Here is a 17,988-nt window from a genome sequence, read left to right as displayed (position 1 = left end):
TTCTGACAGCCAAATCTGATCTTGCTTCTCTCCTGATACCCAAATTCACATTTTCTACTTTACATTGAACATCACTTGGATAACCATCAGAACATTACCATCCATAGAGCCCACACTGACCTCACCTGCCACACCCTTACTCATTTCTACTCCTAACACAAATCACCACCAACTCTTCCTTCTCCTTTATCCTCAATCTCAGCTAAGAGAAACTTCTACCTAGTTATCCAACCTTCAGGATTCAGTCATTATAGGCTGTCCCTCGCCCTTTCACATAGTCCCTAACTTTCCAAAACTCAAACGTGACTCCTACTCTCCATCCTCACACCCACAGCCTGAATCAAGTGCCTTGCCATTTCCTTTTCTTTTGTTTATGTACGGTTTCCCTCAGTATATGTTCAATAAATGTTTAATGAATAAATTAATGAATCAAAGCACCAAAACTGAATAAATCACAGTACCAAAATGTGGAGCCTACCCCGTGGTAGGGTCTTCTGCCTCCATGGAATCTATTACTGACAGTGTGATTATGAACGTCTCCCTCCCAAGCTTTCACATTCTCACCTTGGAGGTGGATATCCTGGCAACAGGATGGTATGTGATGCTTTCTGCATTGGATTTCACACATCTCTATCAGCCACCATCATTTTAAAAAGGTAGTGTGCCATCTCCATCAGCTCACCATTCACTCTGCAAATGTCTACACCTTGGGCCGATGCTCTACTCTACAGTATCTGGTGGCAACATAGGCCAGCAAATACAGCCAGCAGGCACCTACCCTCTGGTGTGCCAAGAACTCTGAGACTATGGGAAGCAGTCAGAGTTGAGGGCATCATCTGGATTGTTTTAGGAGACATGTCTACACCCAGCCTTTTGTCTGCAGTATAACTTGCAGTACTTAGCATCAGTCAATCTGCTCTCCAATTTCCCCTTCCTTGCAGTTGCATACCCCCTTTCACTGTTACATTGATACACTGAGCCTACCTCAACTGCTGTCACATCACTAGTGAATGTCTGTCATATTCCACTAACCCTACCTATTCACATAGCCCTAGCCTCAGTGGAGAGGATCCACTGTCCACAGGGGAAGAAATACCTGCCTCAAATAGGCATGAAGATAGCTGTCAGCTCTGGCACTCTGGCAAGGGCGTATCGGACCCTCAGGGTAGTCAAGACATATAACTCTCTCAAAATCCATCACTAGAATTGCTGAGTGACAAAGGGGAGCTAGATAATAAGTAGGGGGGAATTCTAAGGGAGCATGGGGTGTCCATGCAAATAAAACCTGATATGGGTTGGCAGAGGCTCTCTGCCTTCAGGTGACCCAGGAAACCAGGCAGCCTCTGATCCTTTCATTCAATAGATCTGCCCACTCAGATCACCCTACAATTTCAGGCTGGTAACGATTATTCAGAGATTTCCCAAATCAATTCATGGAAGTTGTTCAGGCCCTCCATCAGACTCTCTGCCCTCTCTCCTTCTGGTTCCTTCTCTACTGTTGCGGGAAGTCAGGGACCCTGAATGGAGGGACCTGCTGAAGCCGTGACAGAAGAACATAAATTGTGAAGATTTCATGGACATTTATTACTTCCCCAATCAATACTCTTATAATTTCCTATGCCTGTCTTTACTTTGATCTCTTAATCCCATCATCTTCATAAACTGAGGATGTATGTCACCTCAGGACCCTGTGATGATTGCGTTAACTGCACAAATTGTTCGTAAAGCATGTGTGTTTGAACAATATGAAATCTGGGCACCTTGAAAAAAGAACAGGATAACAGCGATGTTCAGGGAACAAGGGAGATAACCGTTAGGTCTGACTGCCTGGGAGCCAGGCAGGACAGAGCCATATTTCTCTTATTACCGAAAACAGGTGAGAAATATTGCTGAATTCTTTCCCGAGTAAGGAATATTAATAATTAACAGCCCTGGGAAAAGAATGCATTCCCATGGGGGGCCTCTAAAATGGCTGCTCTGGGGGTGTCTGCCTTATGCAGTTGCAGATAAGGGATGAAACATGCCCTGGCCTCCTGCAGTGCCCCCAGGCTTGCTAGGATTAGGAAATTCCAGCCTGGTGAATTCTAGTCAGACCGGTTCTCTGCTCTTGAACCCTGTTAAGATGTTTATCAATGACAATGCATGCACAGCAGGACATGGAACTTCATTAGTAATTCGAGTTTCACCCTGACCTTGTGATCTTGCCCTGACCTTCTGCCTTGTGATCTTTTGTTGCCCTTGAAGCATGTGATCTCTGTGACCCACATCCTATTTGCACACTCGCTCCCCTTTGAAAATTGCTAATAAAAACTTGCTGGTTTTACGGCTCAGGGGGCATCACGGAACCTGCCAACATGTGATGTCTCCCCCGGACACCCAGCTTTAAAATTTATCTCTTTTGCACTCTTTCCCTTTATTTCTCAGACCAGCCGACCCTTAGGGAAAATAGAAAAGAACCTACGTTGAAATATTGGGGGCTGGTTCGCCTGATAGTCTACCTTATGCTGTACTCTAGATCCAAACCCCTGACTGCCAGCTGCTTTGGGTTCTGTGGGCTTAGTTTAGCATGTGGTCTCTCTAATGGACTCTGATATATATTTTCATAGCACATCTCAATATATTTTCATAGCACATCTATGTATTAAAAAGCTTTGAGTCAGCTTTAAAATGACACAACAAATTATTAATCGTGGTTACTTTTGAAAAGGGGGCTGAATTTTAGAGGAATGTTGTGAGGGAGGAGATTGTGATTTATTGGTATTAAATTTTTTTCCAACAAGAATATGCATACTACCACTAGCTTTGTGATTAAAATATTTTTAATAGGCCTGACAGACAATAGAAATAGTAGTTGTGTATATTACTCAAATAAAGTAAATGCTAACTGATCCAACAACAACAACAACAAAAACCTTGAAATATGAATGGGTTAACATGATAAATGTTTCTTTTTTCGTGCACATAAAACCTGAAGTGGGTTGGCAGTGACCTAGGGAACCAGGTTGTTTCCATCATGTGGCTCCACACCTCAATGTGGGTTCTCCATGTTTGCTGTTGAATGGAAGAGAAAGCATGGAGGTGGCCGACTGGATCTCAGTGCCTTGGCCTAGAGGTGACAAACATGCTTTTACTCATATTTCAGTGGCAAGGGTTAATCACATGACCCTTTTTAACTATGAGTAGACTGGGAAGGTAGTCTCTCCATGAGCCCGGGAAAAAGAGCAGGACATCATGTGGATAAACACTTGCCATCTCTCCCATAAACTAGTACACAGTAGATGTTCAATGAAGAGCAACTCTTATAATTGGTTAGGACAATAACCCTCTTCATTTCTTAGAGGAGTTTGTAAGAAGGCCAAATTTGCCTTGAAATTTGCAACATTTTTCTAGTGTCTACTATGTGACAGATGTTTTCAAACACAAGGTCATGTCTAATTTTCAAAATGATCCTGGAAATTTCTACAAGGAGGATTTGTCCTTTGTCAATCAATAGCACCTTTCTGCACGACTCTTTATAATAACCTGCGTAATCTTAACAGGCTGAGAATTTTCTCCTACCTTTGGTGCCTGGTCAAATCACAGCTACCCACCACCTACTTAACATTCCCAAACACCTGAACAGGTACAATGAAGCACACTGAAAAACCAATATTTTCCTCTGGGGCAGATATAGATAAGAGTAAATTGAAGGATAGTAAGTTATTTTTTTCTTTTTATTCAAAGTTGGCATGTCTGCCAAGGGACCATTTTCTGCCTCTGAGGACTTAAAGAAAGATTTTTAGGGATTCAGCCACAGTAGATGTTTGCTTACACAGTGATTTCCTCTGTCTTTCCTTATCTACCACTTAAGAGGGAGGCTTTGGATGTTGACCACATAGGTAAATTCACTCATTGGTGTATGTGTTCAGTGGCCTGTCTCAAATAAAATACTCTATTAAAATCCTACTGCAAATATCAGGGTGGTTTTAAAAAGCCTCTTTTCTAGCCTCAGGGTTATAAACCAAGAAACAGTAGATTCTGCGCTAAATCACTCCTCACCAGTAGATTTGAAAACACTTTAACAGTGTGGTGGCAGTACCCAGAGACATGAAGAGGTGTCTAAGTTTCACTGTTTGAAGTGAACAATTACACGAAAGGGGCTGTTGCTATCAAAGGGCATCTGTGGTGAGGGGTGGGACCTCCAAGCAGTTGGAACCCTCTGTGTCAGGGAAAACGCAGGTGAGTCTGGGCTGTCTTTTCCTCTGGGAGCAGGTGCAGGCTCCAGAGAAAGATGCAGTGAAGTTGACCAGTAGGTCAGTTCCAGTGTGGACAGGGGGGCACACTGGGGAAGACCCCAGGGAAGGGCACTGTAATGTTGGAAAGCACTGGACTAGACTTATGTGCTGGGACCAGAGCAGAGTCAGCTCTAGAGGAACCTGTGGGCTAAGGCGGGAAAACCCCAGGCCAATGAACCCCACAGACAGTCCAAAACTTTGTTTCTCATTTTAACTTTCCTTTCACTAAGAGGCCTGCTTTTAGTACTTTGGCCACAGGGCACTTGTTATCACTTGAGAGATATTGTGGAACAGTGAGAATTAAGAGACAGTTTGGCCTCAGATTGAGAGAAGCAGGACAGTGTGGGCCCTAGAAACATTCAGACCAGGGGTTTTGTCCCAGCCCTGGCACTTACCAGCCATGTGAACTTGAGAATGTTACAAGTTTTTCATCTCCTAATTTGATAAGCCCCATCTTGTAGAATTGTTGGAACACATGTAATGTATGTAAGGCATCTGGCAAAATGACTGGCAAATATTGGGTCTTTAATGAATGGCAGTTACTACTATTATATTCACACAAGAAAGGCTATTCTCATCTCTGGAAAATTTTTGTTTTGTCCAGGAATTGTCAGAGAACATTCAGTGCTCTAAAAAACCACCACCAAATAAGCCAAAATGCTGCAAAGCAAGTAACGCTATGTAAATTCTCCCCATGAGAGAATATGTTATTTAATATGGGAGCAGGGACTTCATCAGAATTCAACTCTAAGCTTATAGAGTTTATGTCAAGGACCAACGACTCCCCTCCCTCTGAGATTCCCTTCCTACAAAAACATTCTTATTTTCACTTATTTCGTCACCAATGAATCTAGCCCTACCTTGGAGTTTTGCGAAATTATATATGAGAAGACCTAATTAATGGAGTAGGCTCTGGCTGCACAAGCTTAGGGAAAACAGTGTTAGCTTAGTGGCTTCTTGGCATCTCACCTCAAGGAAGTATAACCCTTATTTCTCAAACACTTTCTGGAGACAATGTGCATAAAACAACTAGTTTGTGCACTGTGTTTGACTGCCCTGGGACGAGAGCACTGTATTCTTCCACTCCTCCTCCAGACACAGGTTCTCTCTGCTTTACCCACAATCCCAAAGTAACTGTTAAGGGCAGTTTCCCTTTCCAGGCTTAATCTCTCAACTCTAAGGCTCATGATCTGAGGGTTTGGCACCTTCTTATGATTATCACAACCTCATCCAGTTCACCATGGAGCTAACTTAAAATGACCTCCCAACGAGGGACTTGCATTGTCCCACACCACGAAGTGCCTTGGCTAGGAAATTAACACTTGACTGCTCTTGTCTGAACCTTCTCCCACCATTCTCACTTCTTTTTTTTTTAAATGAGTGTTTATATGTAAAAAAAAAAAAATCTGTACATGTTAGAGTGTATCTCACCATCTTCTTTAAATAATAACTGTCCTTAGACTAAAAATCTGTGTGCAGGCGAAGGGTCTTCTTTAACTTAGTACAATCACTACTATCACAGAGCCTTACAAAGAGCAGATGCTCAATTTATGGTGAGAATAAATGAGCCACTGAACAAGTAATATAATTTATTACTATTTATTTTATCTGCATTCTTGAAAAGGCTAAAAACAACCAGGTATGTATCTTTGGATTTTACAAAAACAAAACTGAATGCAGAAAACAAAAACTTGACATGCTTTGCTTACTCTTCCTCTATTTTAAGACTCCAATTATGTTGTGTGAGGTTCTTTCACACATTTCTGAGAAAATCTCTATTCTAAAGCTATGCTTTCTTCTTCTTCAACCCAAAAAAGATTCAAGGATTTGAAAAATATAGAATATCAAAACTCATATGCTTAAAGCTGGCAGCACCAATAAATGTGTGATCCATGTCGCTCATAGACATAGATCCCAACTCTAAATAAACATTCTATTAAAAGAAAAACACTTGAAAGATACTAATGTTTAACAGGAACACAAAGGAGATATATATGATGATCTCTCTAGCCATATCTTGGCTGCTCACTACTTCAAAAGGTTGGCATCTTGCCACAAAAACAAAGTGAACAATCTGCCTGAGTTCTCACATGGGGTGGGAGGACCTGCTGAATGGGGCTCTAGAACGCGCTCTAAAAGTCGTGGCAGTAGTGCGACGCCTGGCTCTAACACTGGATCGGACTTGGGCTCTCTCTTCCTCATCTCTCAAAGCCTCTTCATAATGGGATGGGAAGTCACGGGGAGTGGCACCATTCATCTTGGCCAAAAACTCGAGGACTTTCATCTTGGTGGTTTCAGCATAGGCTCTCGGACCCCATAGGAATTGATAGCGTGGGGGATCACTGTTGGGCACCTGCTCGTACTTCAGATATTTTTCCTGCACCAGATCTTGGGTGATGAACTTACGGGGTTCCCCATAGATTAAGTGCTCCTCTCCATCATAGGCTCCCAACACATTCATGAATTTCCAGATCTCTTCCTCGGTGGCAGAGTTGCCCTTTAAGAAGATCACACCCAGGAGAGGCATCAGAAGCCCATTCCTGGGAAAGTCCCAATCATTGCTCAGGTTTCCATCATTGGTGAGGTTTAGCTTACTGACGAGGGTGTAGGTGTGGCCACTAGGGTTGTCTTCCTTCAAATCAAGGCCAAAGACGAGCTCCAAGCGGCGAGAGGCTCCATTGAGGATCTCAGTGAAGTGATCCTTGTACTTTTCATCAACAACCTTCAGCATATCTGCCTTCATAATGGGCTCTCTCATTTTATACTTACGTAGAATGAAGTGCATCAGCATTCCTGCCTCCCAGGCTACAGGATCTTTGACTGAGCTCTCAGTGGATGTTGTGGCCTGGGAGAAACTTGCATTTTCCTCACCTTGGCATTTGGCACCTTCGTCAGATTCGGTACATGACACAGCTGCAGCAGCAGTGGTGGTGGGTGGAGCTCCCTGAGGCTTCTGGGGAATGCCAGCAGCAGGGGAGCTTGTGGGAGTATCCCCTAAAACAGGAGAGGAGGAGGGGCACTCCTCTTTCTCTGCTGCAGTGGCGTGAGCAACCTTGAGACCCTGGGTCTCCTCTCGCGCCTTGCGGCGTTTCTCACGAGCACGGAGCTTACTCTTCTGACCCCGAGGCATGATGGCTGTGGTCAGGCAAAACAGGCAGGAAAGTGAGCAGAAAGGCAGGAGATGTGGCACCTGAAGGAGAGAGAATGAGATCCTGTGAGTACTTGCAGCAGGGAGGTACCACCTTGGCTTTTAGAGAGCCACTTCTGCTGGTTTTCTTGAGGGCATTGCTCTAGGAACCCACTGGGTTCTTGTTGCCAACCCTGCCTGGGGCTGACTGGGTGACAGCAGAGGTTGGCAGTGTAGACTCCCTCTGTGTTCAAGGGCCCTCTCAATTCATATACAGGATCTTCATATCTACTCTTGGAAGGGTCTGGGACCTCCTTCCTGTGCTGCTCTGAAGCTGACACTTCAAAGCTCCCTGGAATCCACCAAAGAAAAATGAGGCACTGCTTCAACCTACCATCCTTACCGGGGGCTGGGCGGGATGGCAGTGCTGACAGTTCTATGGAACTCTCTCTGTCCTGGGCTAGTTGGACCTCAATCTTAATTCAGAGTCCTCATCTCATCTATATCTAAGTTCTGGGAACCTGTCTTCTGCTAACTGGTGCTGCATCTTCAGACCAAAGCTGTCACCTCCCTTAGACCTGATGCAAAGAAATAAAGTCTCAGCCTGGCAACCCTTGGCCAAGGCCTTTCAGAGCTAAGTGCAGAGACAGGGCTAGCATCGTTGTTTTTCCTCTATTTGGGGTGGGGGTTGGGGGCTTGGGGGAATGGTGCCTTCAGTCCACACTCACACTTCGACTCCCAGAAGGGCCTAGGGCTCTGTTCTCTCTACACCTGAGGACATTTACTCATAGTAAGGCCTACATCTGCCTGAGACCCAATGGAGGAAATGAGGGTGGCTGTATCTGGTCACAATGCCCATATTCTCCAGAGGCTGAAAGCTGTGGCTGGCAGGTTGAAGCCCTGTGATGTGTAGCCCCACTCATGGTCCTCACTCAAGGTCTCCAGTTTGACTCCTGGGAGGGCCTAAAATGCCTCCCACCCCTCCTGCTAACCCATCTGACTAAGACCTTCATTTCCCTGTTACTTCTGAAGAGGAATTTAGGGGCATTTCTGACATTTATGCTCGGGGCTTCCTAGCGCTGACATACAGAGGGACTCTGAGGGATCCCCACTGATGAGGTGGGAGTTCCCTCAAGTCCTCTCTATGAGGCCTGGCACAACCTGGAAATCCTCTCTCTACTGACCTGAGGCCCCTTACATCAGATTAAGATTCTCATTGCCTCATAGTCCCAAGATGAAAGAAAGCCTGAATCACATCCAGTCACCACGTCCTCTATGGGGCTCCACTGTTCTGGGGTCGTTGTTCTCTTTAGTCTTCACTCAAGCAGAGTCTGAGCTCCTCTCTAATCCCACTTGATTCTTCCAGGCTCATACAAAAGCCTTCACCTCTCTGAGTACCCAGGGCTAGTCTTGAGGGGATGACACATCTGGGTACTTCTGCCTGGGGTTTCCCAGAGCTGAGAGGGGGTAGAACTTGGTGAAGCCCCACTCTCTAGGTAAATGCTCATCTCATTCCTCCCTCAGTGACTTCTCTGTCTTGATCTAACGCCTATCCAGTCATACAAAGCACCCCCCGACAACTCCCTGAGGAAGAAGTGAAACTTTTCCCATCTGGCTACAATTGTCCATCATCTCCCAAGGATGAAAATCAGGAAGGAATTCCGTGTTTCTTTCACTGTTATGGGATGAGTGGTTCCCCCAGTTCTCAGGGTCTTCTTTTTGACTCCTGGAATTACCTAGGAATCCTCTAGCTGCTAACATAAGGCTGCCCCCTTTGATGAAGTTCCCCACTTCCCTGAGATGCTCTAGGAAGAAGTGAGTGAGACTCATCATGTCACCATACCTGGATCTCCCAGGTCTCAGTGGGGATAGGGCTCTATCTGTGTTACCTCTTTCTTGGAGGGGGTCCCCTCATACTCCCTCAGTGTCACCATCTTTTAGGAACTGGGCCTCCTCCCTGTACTAAACAAGGGCTTTCATGTTAAACCAAAGCCATTATGTACCTGAAACAGTACCTGAAGGAAATGAGGGGCATCTCAACTTGAGAGTTCTAACCCTGGCTTCTAAGGAATGAACGCCAAGGTAAGACTGTGTTCCTGCCTGTTCTGGACTAGACGGTTACCTCATTCCTCATAAAGAAATTGTACCTTGACACCTGTCTTGGCGTATGACTCCTATCTCTCTACTGAACTGGGGCAGTGAGGCCTTAAACCAAGGCCCTCCTCTCTCTAAGACTATGAAGGCAGAAGCCAGGGAGTACTTGAGCCTGCCAGCTCTGGCCTGGGACTCCCAGGGACAGCATCAGGCGCAATTGTCTCCCTCGTGTATAGAGTAGCCGCCATTTCCTCACTCAGTGTCTCCACCTCCACTCAGCACTCTTTCTGGGACTCCACCCATCAACTGCTCCTAACACCATGCCCCGTAGACAAAAGTTCTCATATTCCTTGGACCTAAGTTCACAGTCATAGTGGGCCACATCCCACCAAGGCTGACTGGGGCCTGCGTGTGCCGACAGCAGGAGCGGGACTTTTTTTTTTTTTTTTTTTTTTTCTTGAGACTGAGTCTCGCTCTGTCACCCAGGCTGGAGTGCAGTGGTGCAATCTCGGCTCACTGTAAGCTCCGCTTCCCGGGTTCACGCCATTCTCCTGCCTCAGCCTCCTGAGTAGCTGGGACTACAGCAGCCCACCACCACGCCTGGCTAATTTTTTCTATTTTTAGTAGAGACGGGGTTTCACCGTGTTAGCCAGGATGGTCTTGATATCCTGACCTCGTGATCCGCCTGCCTCGGCCTCCCAGAGTTCTGGGATTACGGGTAGTAGGGTTTAGGACTCCTCCCTCTATTGACCTGAGTCTATAAGGCTTAGGCCAAAGCCTTCGTCTCCCTGAGTCGCTGAAGAGACAGTCAGGGTGCTACCCATCTGGTTACCTGAGGCCTCCCAGGACCAAATGCAGAAGCGGGACTTAGAGGGGACCTCTTTGTTACGGGTGGGGGTGGTCTCTTCAATTTACACTCAGGGTCCTCACCTTGACTCCCGACCAGTCCTGAGAATTCACCCTCCGCTGACCAGACGCTGCACCCCACTCCTTAAGCTCGCTCGGGTCCTCGCCTTCAAAAGGGAAATGAGGATGAGCCACATCCGGCAGCCCAGGGCCTCTGAGGGCTGACGGCAGAGGCAGGACGCTACGGGACGTCACTGTTCTAGTGTCGCTGGTCCCTACGTCCCCACTAGGGTTCCTCACCTTAGTATCTAGCAGCCTGGGACGACTTCCGCCTGCTGACCCAAATCCGCCAGGCGGACACTGCGCCCTTACGCTCGCTGGGGTCCTCGCCTTCAAAGCGGAAGTCAGGATGAGCCACATCCGGCAGCCCGTGGCCTCCGGGCTGACGGCAGGGGTGGTACGCTTCTGGACGTAACTGTTCTAGCGTCGCTGGTCCCTACGTCCCCACTAGGGGTCCTCACCTTAGTATCTAGCAGTCTGGGACGACTCCGCCTGCTGACCCAAATCCGCCAGCCTCAAACAATAGCCCCACCTCTCTCAGCCCCCAAGGTGGAAATCTGAGCGTGCCACACAGGCCACCCCTGCCTGGGCCTCACAGGCCTGACAGCAGCGGCAGGGCTCTGTGAAAGTCCCGTTTTGGGCAGAGGCCTTCTCATCAGCTCTCAGAGTCCTCACCGTGACTCTGGTTTCCTCTCCAGGCAGAACTGAAGCTACTCCCTTCAGGCCCCACGCTCCCCATCCTCCATGAGACCTTCCAGGCGGAAATGAGAGGCACCTTAGGTAGATAGCTCTGTCTGATGCCTCAAAACGGGGTGAATTCTGTGGGGACTCATCTGCTGGTGGAGTCCCCTCTTAACACTTAAAAGCCCTACATTGATTCTTGTTAGGGTCTCGGCCTCTTCGCTCTGTAAAACTGAGGCTGCCCCAATTAGACGGAACCAGTCATCTCCCTGAGACTTTCCAGGCAGAATTCAGCCTGCCATCTCCGCCAAGGCTTCCTAGGGCTGACAGCAGAGGGGACTTTGTGAGGCCATGTGGGTGCTAGCTACCCTTAGTCCACATTCAGGTCCTCACCTTGACAAGTGAGCAAACCTGTAACTTACCCTTTGTTTACCTGAACCTGCTCCTCTCACATCAAGGTCCTGTTTTCTGAGAATTTCGAGTTGTACTCCTGGATGATCTTCATATGATCACAGTCCTTTTGCAACCTGCAAAAACAGATAATAAGGAAAGGACTCCATAGAACCCCACAGTTTTGGCTGGGTCCTTCCATCAGTCTTCATTTATGCTCCTCGCCTTTACATGTATCAGAACCTGGGACTCCTCTATCTACTGAACTGAGGTCACTCTCCTGAGGGTCTGGATGAACCCTTACATTTTGGAGTGGTTTTCTCCCCACCATTCATTCATGAGGGTTCTCATGTTGGCTTCTGTCTCTTGATCAAACTCTTCCAGGGAAATGTCACATCCCTGCAAAAATTTGACCAGTTTCCTCTTTGCAAACCTTGCAGAGAAGAGGTCCCTGTCCCAGAAGTGATGTGATGTTGGGAAACTGAAACGGAAGGTGGAGAGCCTAGGACAGATGTTGTGCTCTCAGGGAAAAAAACATGCTGATCTATTCCTTCACTTCACCAACCAAAGGGTAGTTCTAAAAGTTTTACTTTCTACAGAAAAGGGTGGAGCCAGATGATTTTTGTAATCTTTTGATCTTTTGAAGCTATCCAATTTTGCTTCTGTCGGTGATCATATTGTCACCGAGTATTATTTCTTTTTCTCTTTAATTCACATCTGTCAATTATTTTGGTATTCTTCTTGCTCTGGTTATGTATTCCAATCCAGTGTTTGGGGTACAGAGACCTCTTCTTTCTTACCTGAGACACACTTTGGGGTTGTAGAAGAAAATGAATTAAGCAATTCACAGTAAGCTTCAGTTTGGGAGGAGTGGAACAGTGTGGGCTCTAGAGGAATTCAGACCAGCAGTCTAGTTCCAGCCCTATCACTTACTAGCTGTGTGAACTTGGGCACATTAATAAACTCTATGAGCCTCAGGCTCTACATCTGTGAAATGAGCTTGATAAGCCTTGTCTTGTAGGACTGGTGGAATGTGGTGAAAGTGTGCAAAGCCCTGGTGTGCATTGAGACTTTAAACAATACTTGTTATTACTAAGATTATTTCAACTACAGAAGAAATCATCCACCCTGCTGATTTTCTTTAAGTCCAAGAGATAACAAAGAATATACAGCATTCTAAGACATGGAACAATAAAATCAGCCCAAAACGCAGCTTACAAAGAAACTCTAAATAACTTTTCCATATTAAATCATATTTTGAGTGTGGAGTTGTCTTTCTCAGCTGAAAGCAACTCAAACCTTCTAGGCTTTGGTTCAAGGACCAACTCTGACCTTTCATCCAAACCAGTCTTATTTTCATTCATTTTACCACCATCAAAAATCTAGATCTCCCTTAGAATTTGCAAAAACACATGAAAGGAAAAAAAATTCCTTTTAATGGAATGGGTTCTGGCTCCCCAGCTGATAGCAGAGTATTAGCCCAGTGGCTTATGAGTTTCCAGTCTTAAAGGAGTATCACCTTTATTTCTCAGAAACACCCTGGGGACTACGCTCATAAAACACCTAGTTTGTGTACTGGATTCACTTCACTTGCACTGGGACAAGAGCACCGGCCACTTTCAATCCCTGCTCCAGGCAAAGATCCCCTCTGGTTTTTCCACAATCCCAAAGTAACTGTTAAAGGCAATTTTTCATTCCAGTCTCCATCTCTCAAGTGTGAGATCCACCATCTGAGTGTGTGACCCCTGCTCAGTGCGCCCCATATAGGCACTATGCCAGGACATAAAATTACCTCCTATTGCAGTATGTTCAGTTTCCCGAAGTCTCAGTTACCTTGCTTAGGACATTTACACTAGATTCCACTGCTGGTAATACCCCCACCTTCTTTTTTATCCCCTTTTCACCTGTCTTTAGGTCTTAAGGAGTATCTCATTACCTTCGTTATATGATAGCTGCTGTTGGATTCTAAAATTCTGTGGGCAGGGATTGGGGTTTTTTTGTTGTTTGTTTGTTTTTTGTTTTCTTAGCTTATCCGGTACTAGCCAGGAGCCCTCCAAAGTACAGCTGCTCAATTAATATTTGGACAATTGAAGTGTAAGTGACCAGGAAGTCAAATGTATTGCTATTTAATTTCCCCCACATTCCTGAAAAAGCTAAGCAGATCCGGGTACATATACTTCAGTTTTACAAAGAAAGACTAAAAAGAATAAAACAAAGCAAGAATTGACCACATTTTACTTTTTTTTTCTCTACTTCCTGGTCCCACCAACTTTATTGCAAGGTAATTTCCTTTTCACAAATTCCATATTCCAATGCCATATTATCTTGTTCTAGATCACAGAAAAAGACTTAAAAGATTTTTAAATTGTTTTACATAATGCAAAAATTCTCACTCTCCAACCTGATATATTTTAATAAATGAGTGATTCATGCCATTCATAAACTTAGATTCTGAAACTAAATAAATCTACAATTTAAAAAAAGAACACTGAAAAACAGGAAAAAGAAAAGATAAATCATTTTACATACAAATATGTTATACATGGTGTTCCCACCAACTCCCCTTTGGCTCTCCATTAATTAGAAGGTTAAGTGTTTTCTTAATCAAAAGTAAAGAATATACCTCAGACTTCACAAGGAGTGGGAGACACTGCTGGACACCACACTGAAACATGCCAGGCCCAGTTGCAACACTGTCTCTGGCTCTCTCTCCCTCATCTCTTAAAGTCTTCTCTTAATGGAGGGAAGACAATGGAGACACTGTCATTGACCTTGGCCCAGGCCTCCACATTCTTGAATAATCTAAGCAAACCAGGTATGTAACTTTTAAATTTATGAGCAAAAAAAGACTGAACTGAGTAAGACAAACCACGAATAAAGCAACTTTTACTTTTCTTCCCTTTCTATCTTCAGATTCTACCTATTTTACTGTGGAGTTATTTTAAATTTCTAAGGATAACCTTACTCCCATGCCGTGTTATTTTGCTCTGTATCACAAAAATTATTTCAGGATTTTCTATTTGTATTTCAAAAACAAAATTATTATCACTAAACCAACCTGATAAACAGCAATAAATGTGTGATGCATGCCATTTCTAAATTTATATTCTGAATCTAAATAAACTTTCTATTTTAAGAAACATCATGGAAAATACAACAAAGAGATAAATCAATGAGTTATTCATGCATCACAGGAACAGAGAAAGCAGCAGGTCTTTCAACCACAAAGTGAACAATTTGCCTTAGATCTCACATGGGTTGGGAAGAGCTACTGGATGTGGCCCTGGAATACGCACTAGTCATGGCTGTAGTGCCACGCCTGGCTGCAACTCTGGGCCGGGCTCCAGCTCTCTCTTCTTCATCTCTCAAAGCCTCTTCATAAAGCAGTGGGAAGTTATTGGGGGTGGTGTCATTCACCTTGGCCAAAAACTCCAGGACTTTCATCTTGCTGGTTTCTGCATGAGCTCTTGGACCCCACAGGAATTGATAGCGTGGGGGATCACTGTTGGGCACCTGCTGGTATTCCAGATATTTTTCCTGTACCAGATCTTGGGTGATGAGCTTTCGGGGTTCCCCAAAGATAAGGTGCCTCTTTCCATCATAGATCCCCAGCATATTCAGGAATTCCCAGATTTCCTCTTCACGGGCACAGTTGCCATTTAAGAAGATCACACTCAGTAGAGGCATCAGAAGCCCATTCCTTGGAAGGGTCCAGGCACTGCTCTGGTTTCCATCGTTGGGGCCTAGCATGCTGACGAGGATGTAGGAGTGAGTGGTGGGGTTGACCTCCTTCAAGGCAAGGCCAAAGACCAGCTCCGTGCGCTGAGAGACTTTCCTGAAGATCTCAGGGAAGTGCTCCTTGTACTTTTTGCTGATGATCTTCAGCATTTCTGCCTTTGTAGTGGGCTCTTTCATTTTATACTTGTACAGCAGGAACTGCACTAACATCTTCGTCTTCCTGGTTAGAGAATCTTTGAGTGATCTCTCAGTGGATGTTGAGGCCTGGGAGGAACTTGCATTTTCCTCATCTTGGCTCTCGTCGCCTTTATCAGATCCAGTGCATGACATAGCTGCAGCAGCAGAGGTGGTGGGTGGCTCTCTCTGAGGCTCCTGGGGAATGCCAAAAGCAAGGGAGCTGGAGGCAGTATCCCTCAAAACAGATGAGGAAGAGGAAGGAGACTCTTCTTTCTCTGCTGCAGTAGGCTGACCAACCTTGAGATCCTGGGTCTGACCACGGGTCCGCTGGCGTTTCTCACGGGCACGGAGCTTACTCTTCTGACCCCGAGGCATGATGGCTGTGGTTAGGCACAGCAGGCAGGAGTGTAGGCAGAAGGGCAGGTGATGTGGTTCCTGGAGAAGAGCAAATGAAATCCTGAGAACACCTTCAGCAGGCAGATACTACCTTGGCTTTTCAGAAGCCGCCTCTGCAGGATTCCTTGAGAACACTGCTCTAAGTATTCACTGGGCTATTGTTCTTAGTCATTCTGTCCCCTGAGAAGCCAGCTGAGGAAGTTACAATGTGCCTTAGGCTGCAGCTTGCCAACCCTGCCTGGGGCTGACTGGGTGACAACAAGGCTCGCAGTGGGGCTTTCTGTGTTCTGGCTTGGAGAGGATCCACTCTGATTACCTTTAGAATTGTCATGTCAGCTCTTGGCAGGGCCTGAGCCTCCCTCTATTGGTGTTGTGAAATTGACTCTTTAGTTTTCTGGGACCCAGATGAGGGAAGTCTAGGGGCCCCTCAACCCACCACCCCTGCCTAGAAGCATTTAGTGCTCTCTCTGTCCTGGGCTCTTTAGGTCCCAAGTTTGCACTCAGGATCCTCATCTGGACTCCAAGCAGGGTTGTGGACTGTCTCTTCTGCTGACTGATAACTGCAACTTCAGACCAAGAATTTCATCTTTTCTAGTTCTGGTATAAAATGTGATGGGCATCTATGAAAGAAAATAATTGATAATCTGGACTTCGCTAAATTAAAACTTCTGCTCTGCTAAAGATACCACAAAGAGAATAAGATAACTCCCAGGTTGGGAAAAAATTATTTTCAAAAGACATATCTGATAAGGGACTGTTAACCAAAACATACAAAAATGTCTTAAAACTGAACAATAAGAACTGACCAACCCTATTAAAAATGGACAAAAGATCTAAACAGGCACCTCAACAAATAATATATATGGAAGGCAAATACGTACATGAAATGATGGTCAACATCACATATCATTAGAGACTTGCAAATTAAAACAATAATGTGATACCACTACATACCTATAAGAATGGTCAAAATCAAAAACCCTGATAACCCCAAATACTGATGAGGATGTGGAGCAACAGGAGCACACTGTCATTGCTGATGGACATGAAAAATGATACAGCCACTTTTGAAGACAGTTTGTAAGTTTCTTACAAAGCTATGCATACTTTCATCATATGATCTAGCAAGTGCGCTCCTTGTTATTTAGCCAGATGAGTTGAAAACGGTATGTCCACAAAAAAAACCTGCACACAAATGTTTATAGTAGCTTTATTCATAATTGCCCAAACTGGGAAGCAAGCAATATGTCCTTCAGAAGGAGAGTGGATAAATTAACAGAATAAAATATTATTCAGCACTAAAAGGGAATGAACTATCAAGCCACAAAGAGACATGGATGAAACTTAGATACATATTACAAAGTGAAAGAAGCCAATTTGAAAAGTCTATACATTGCATAATTCCATCTATATGACATTCTGGAAAAGGCAAAAGTATGGAAACAGTACAAAGTTCAGTGGTTTCCAAAGGTTGGGGAGAGTGAGAGATAAATAGATCAGGCACAGAGAACTTTTAAGGCAGTAAAACAATTCTGGATGATTCTATGGTGGTAAACATATGTCATTATACATTTTTAAATATTAAAACCACAGAATGTGCAGCAACAGGAATGAATCCTAAACTACGGACATTGGGTGATAATGATGTGTCCATGTATTCTCAATTGTAACAAATGTATCACCCTGGCTTGGGAGGTTGATATGAAGGAGGCTGTGTCTGTGGGAGGACAGGATGCCTGTGAGACTCTCCTTTCTGCTCAGTTTTGCTGTGAACGTAAAACTATTCTAAAAAAGAAGGTCAATTATTAAAAAAAAAAAGTGATGGTGAGTCCTCAGCCTTACATGTTGCCCTGGCAATTTAAGAGTTATGCAGGGGGGTGGACTCTGTTGCTCTCTCTATTCAGAGGTGAGCAGTCCCCTCAGTTCTCACTCGGTTTCCTTGATTTGGCTCCTAGCAGATCCTAGGGCTCCCCTCTTTTTTGACCTGAAGACCTCTCCATTTAAAAGGCCTGCACCTCCCTGAGATCAGATAGGAGGAAGAGGGTGGCCTTATCTGGCCACAGCTGACCATGGTCTCCCAAGAGTGGCAGCTGTGGTAGACAGGTTGAGGTCTTATGGTGGATTGTCCTACTCAGGTCCTAACTCAGGATCCTAAATCTCACTCACAGGAAGGCTTAATATTCCTCCCTTTGCTGAGCTGGGATT

General features: G+C 45.1%; 2 protein-coding genes across 4 annotated transcripts, besides 2 other annotated features; both read right to left on the bottom strand.

The window, feature by feature from the left end:
- Positions 1,276-1,451: a silencer, noted in NCBI's record as "fragment chrX:30274564-30274739 (GRCh37/hg19 assembly coordinates)". NCBI's record gives its function as "represses an EF-1alpha promoter that drives an FKBP-Casp9 reporter gene in an ReSE screen in K562 erythroleukemia cells {active_cell/tissue: K562}" and the evidence as "EXISTENCE:reporter gene assay evidence [ECO:0000049][PMID:32094911]".
- MAGEB1 (MAGE family member B1) lies at positions 5,858-14,167 on the bottom strand. Of its 3 annotated transcripts, NM_002363.5 has the most exons (4): positions 14,096-14,167; positions 11,505-11,609; positions 10,426-10,508; positions 5,858-7,464 (listed from the first exon to the last, which is right to left on the bottom strand). In NM_002363.5, the coding sequence occupies exon 4, from the start codon at positions 7,402-7,404 to the stop codon at positions 6,361-6,363; it is 1,044 nt and encodes a 347-aa protein (NP_002354.2). In that variant the 5' UTR covers positions 7,405-7,464; positions 10,426-10,508; positions 11,505-11,609; positions 14,096-14,167; the 3' UTR covers positions 5,858-6,360. The 3 variants fall into 3 exon arrangements, with proteins under 3 accessions (NP_002354.2, NP_803134.1, NP_796379.1); NM_177415.3 differs by lacking the exon at positions 10,426-10,508; NM_177404.3 differs by lacking the exons at positions 10,426-10,508; positions 11,505-11,609; positions 14,096-14,167 and adding an exon at positions 10,642-10,752.
- Positions 13,711-15,898, bottom strand: MAGEB4 (MAGE family member B4). The gene has a single exon (NM_002367.4). It carries the CDS (start codon positions 15,760-15,762, stop codon positions 14,722-14,724), a length of 1,041 nt encoding a protein of 346 aa, NP_002358.1. The 5' UTR covers positions 15,763-15,898; the 3' UTR covers positions 13,711-14,721.
- Positions 15,650-16,223: an enhancer, noted in NCBI's record as "NANOG hESC enhancer chrX:30259792-30260365 (GRCh37/hg19 assembly coordinates)". NCBI's record gives its function as "activates a minimal SCP1, AML or CMV promoter by ChIP-STARR-seq in naive H9 embryonic stem cells {active_cell/tissue: H9 hESC(naive)}" and the evidence as "EXISTENCE:reporter gene assay evidence [ECO:0000049][PMID:30033119]".

This window comes from Homo sapiens, chromosome X (genome assembly GCF_000001405.40).
Source record: "Homo sapiens chromosome X, GRCh38.p14 Primary Assembly".
NCBI lineage: Eukaryota > Metazoa > Chordata > Mammalia > Primates > Hominidae > Homo > Homo sapiens.
This window is presented reverse-complemented; position numbering and strand designations above follow the sequence as displayed.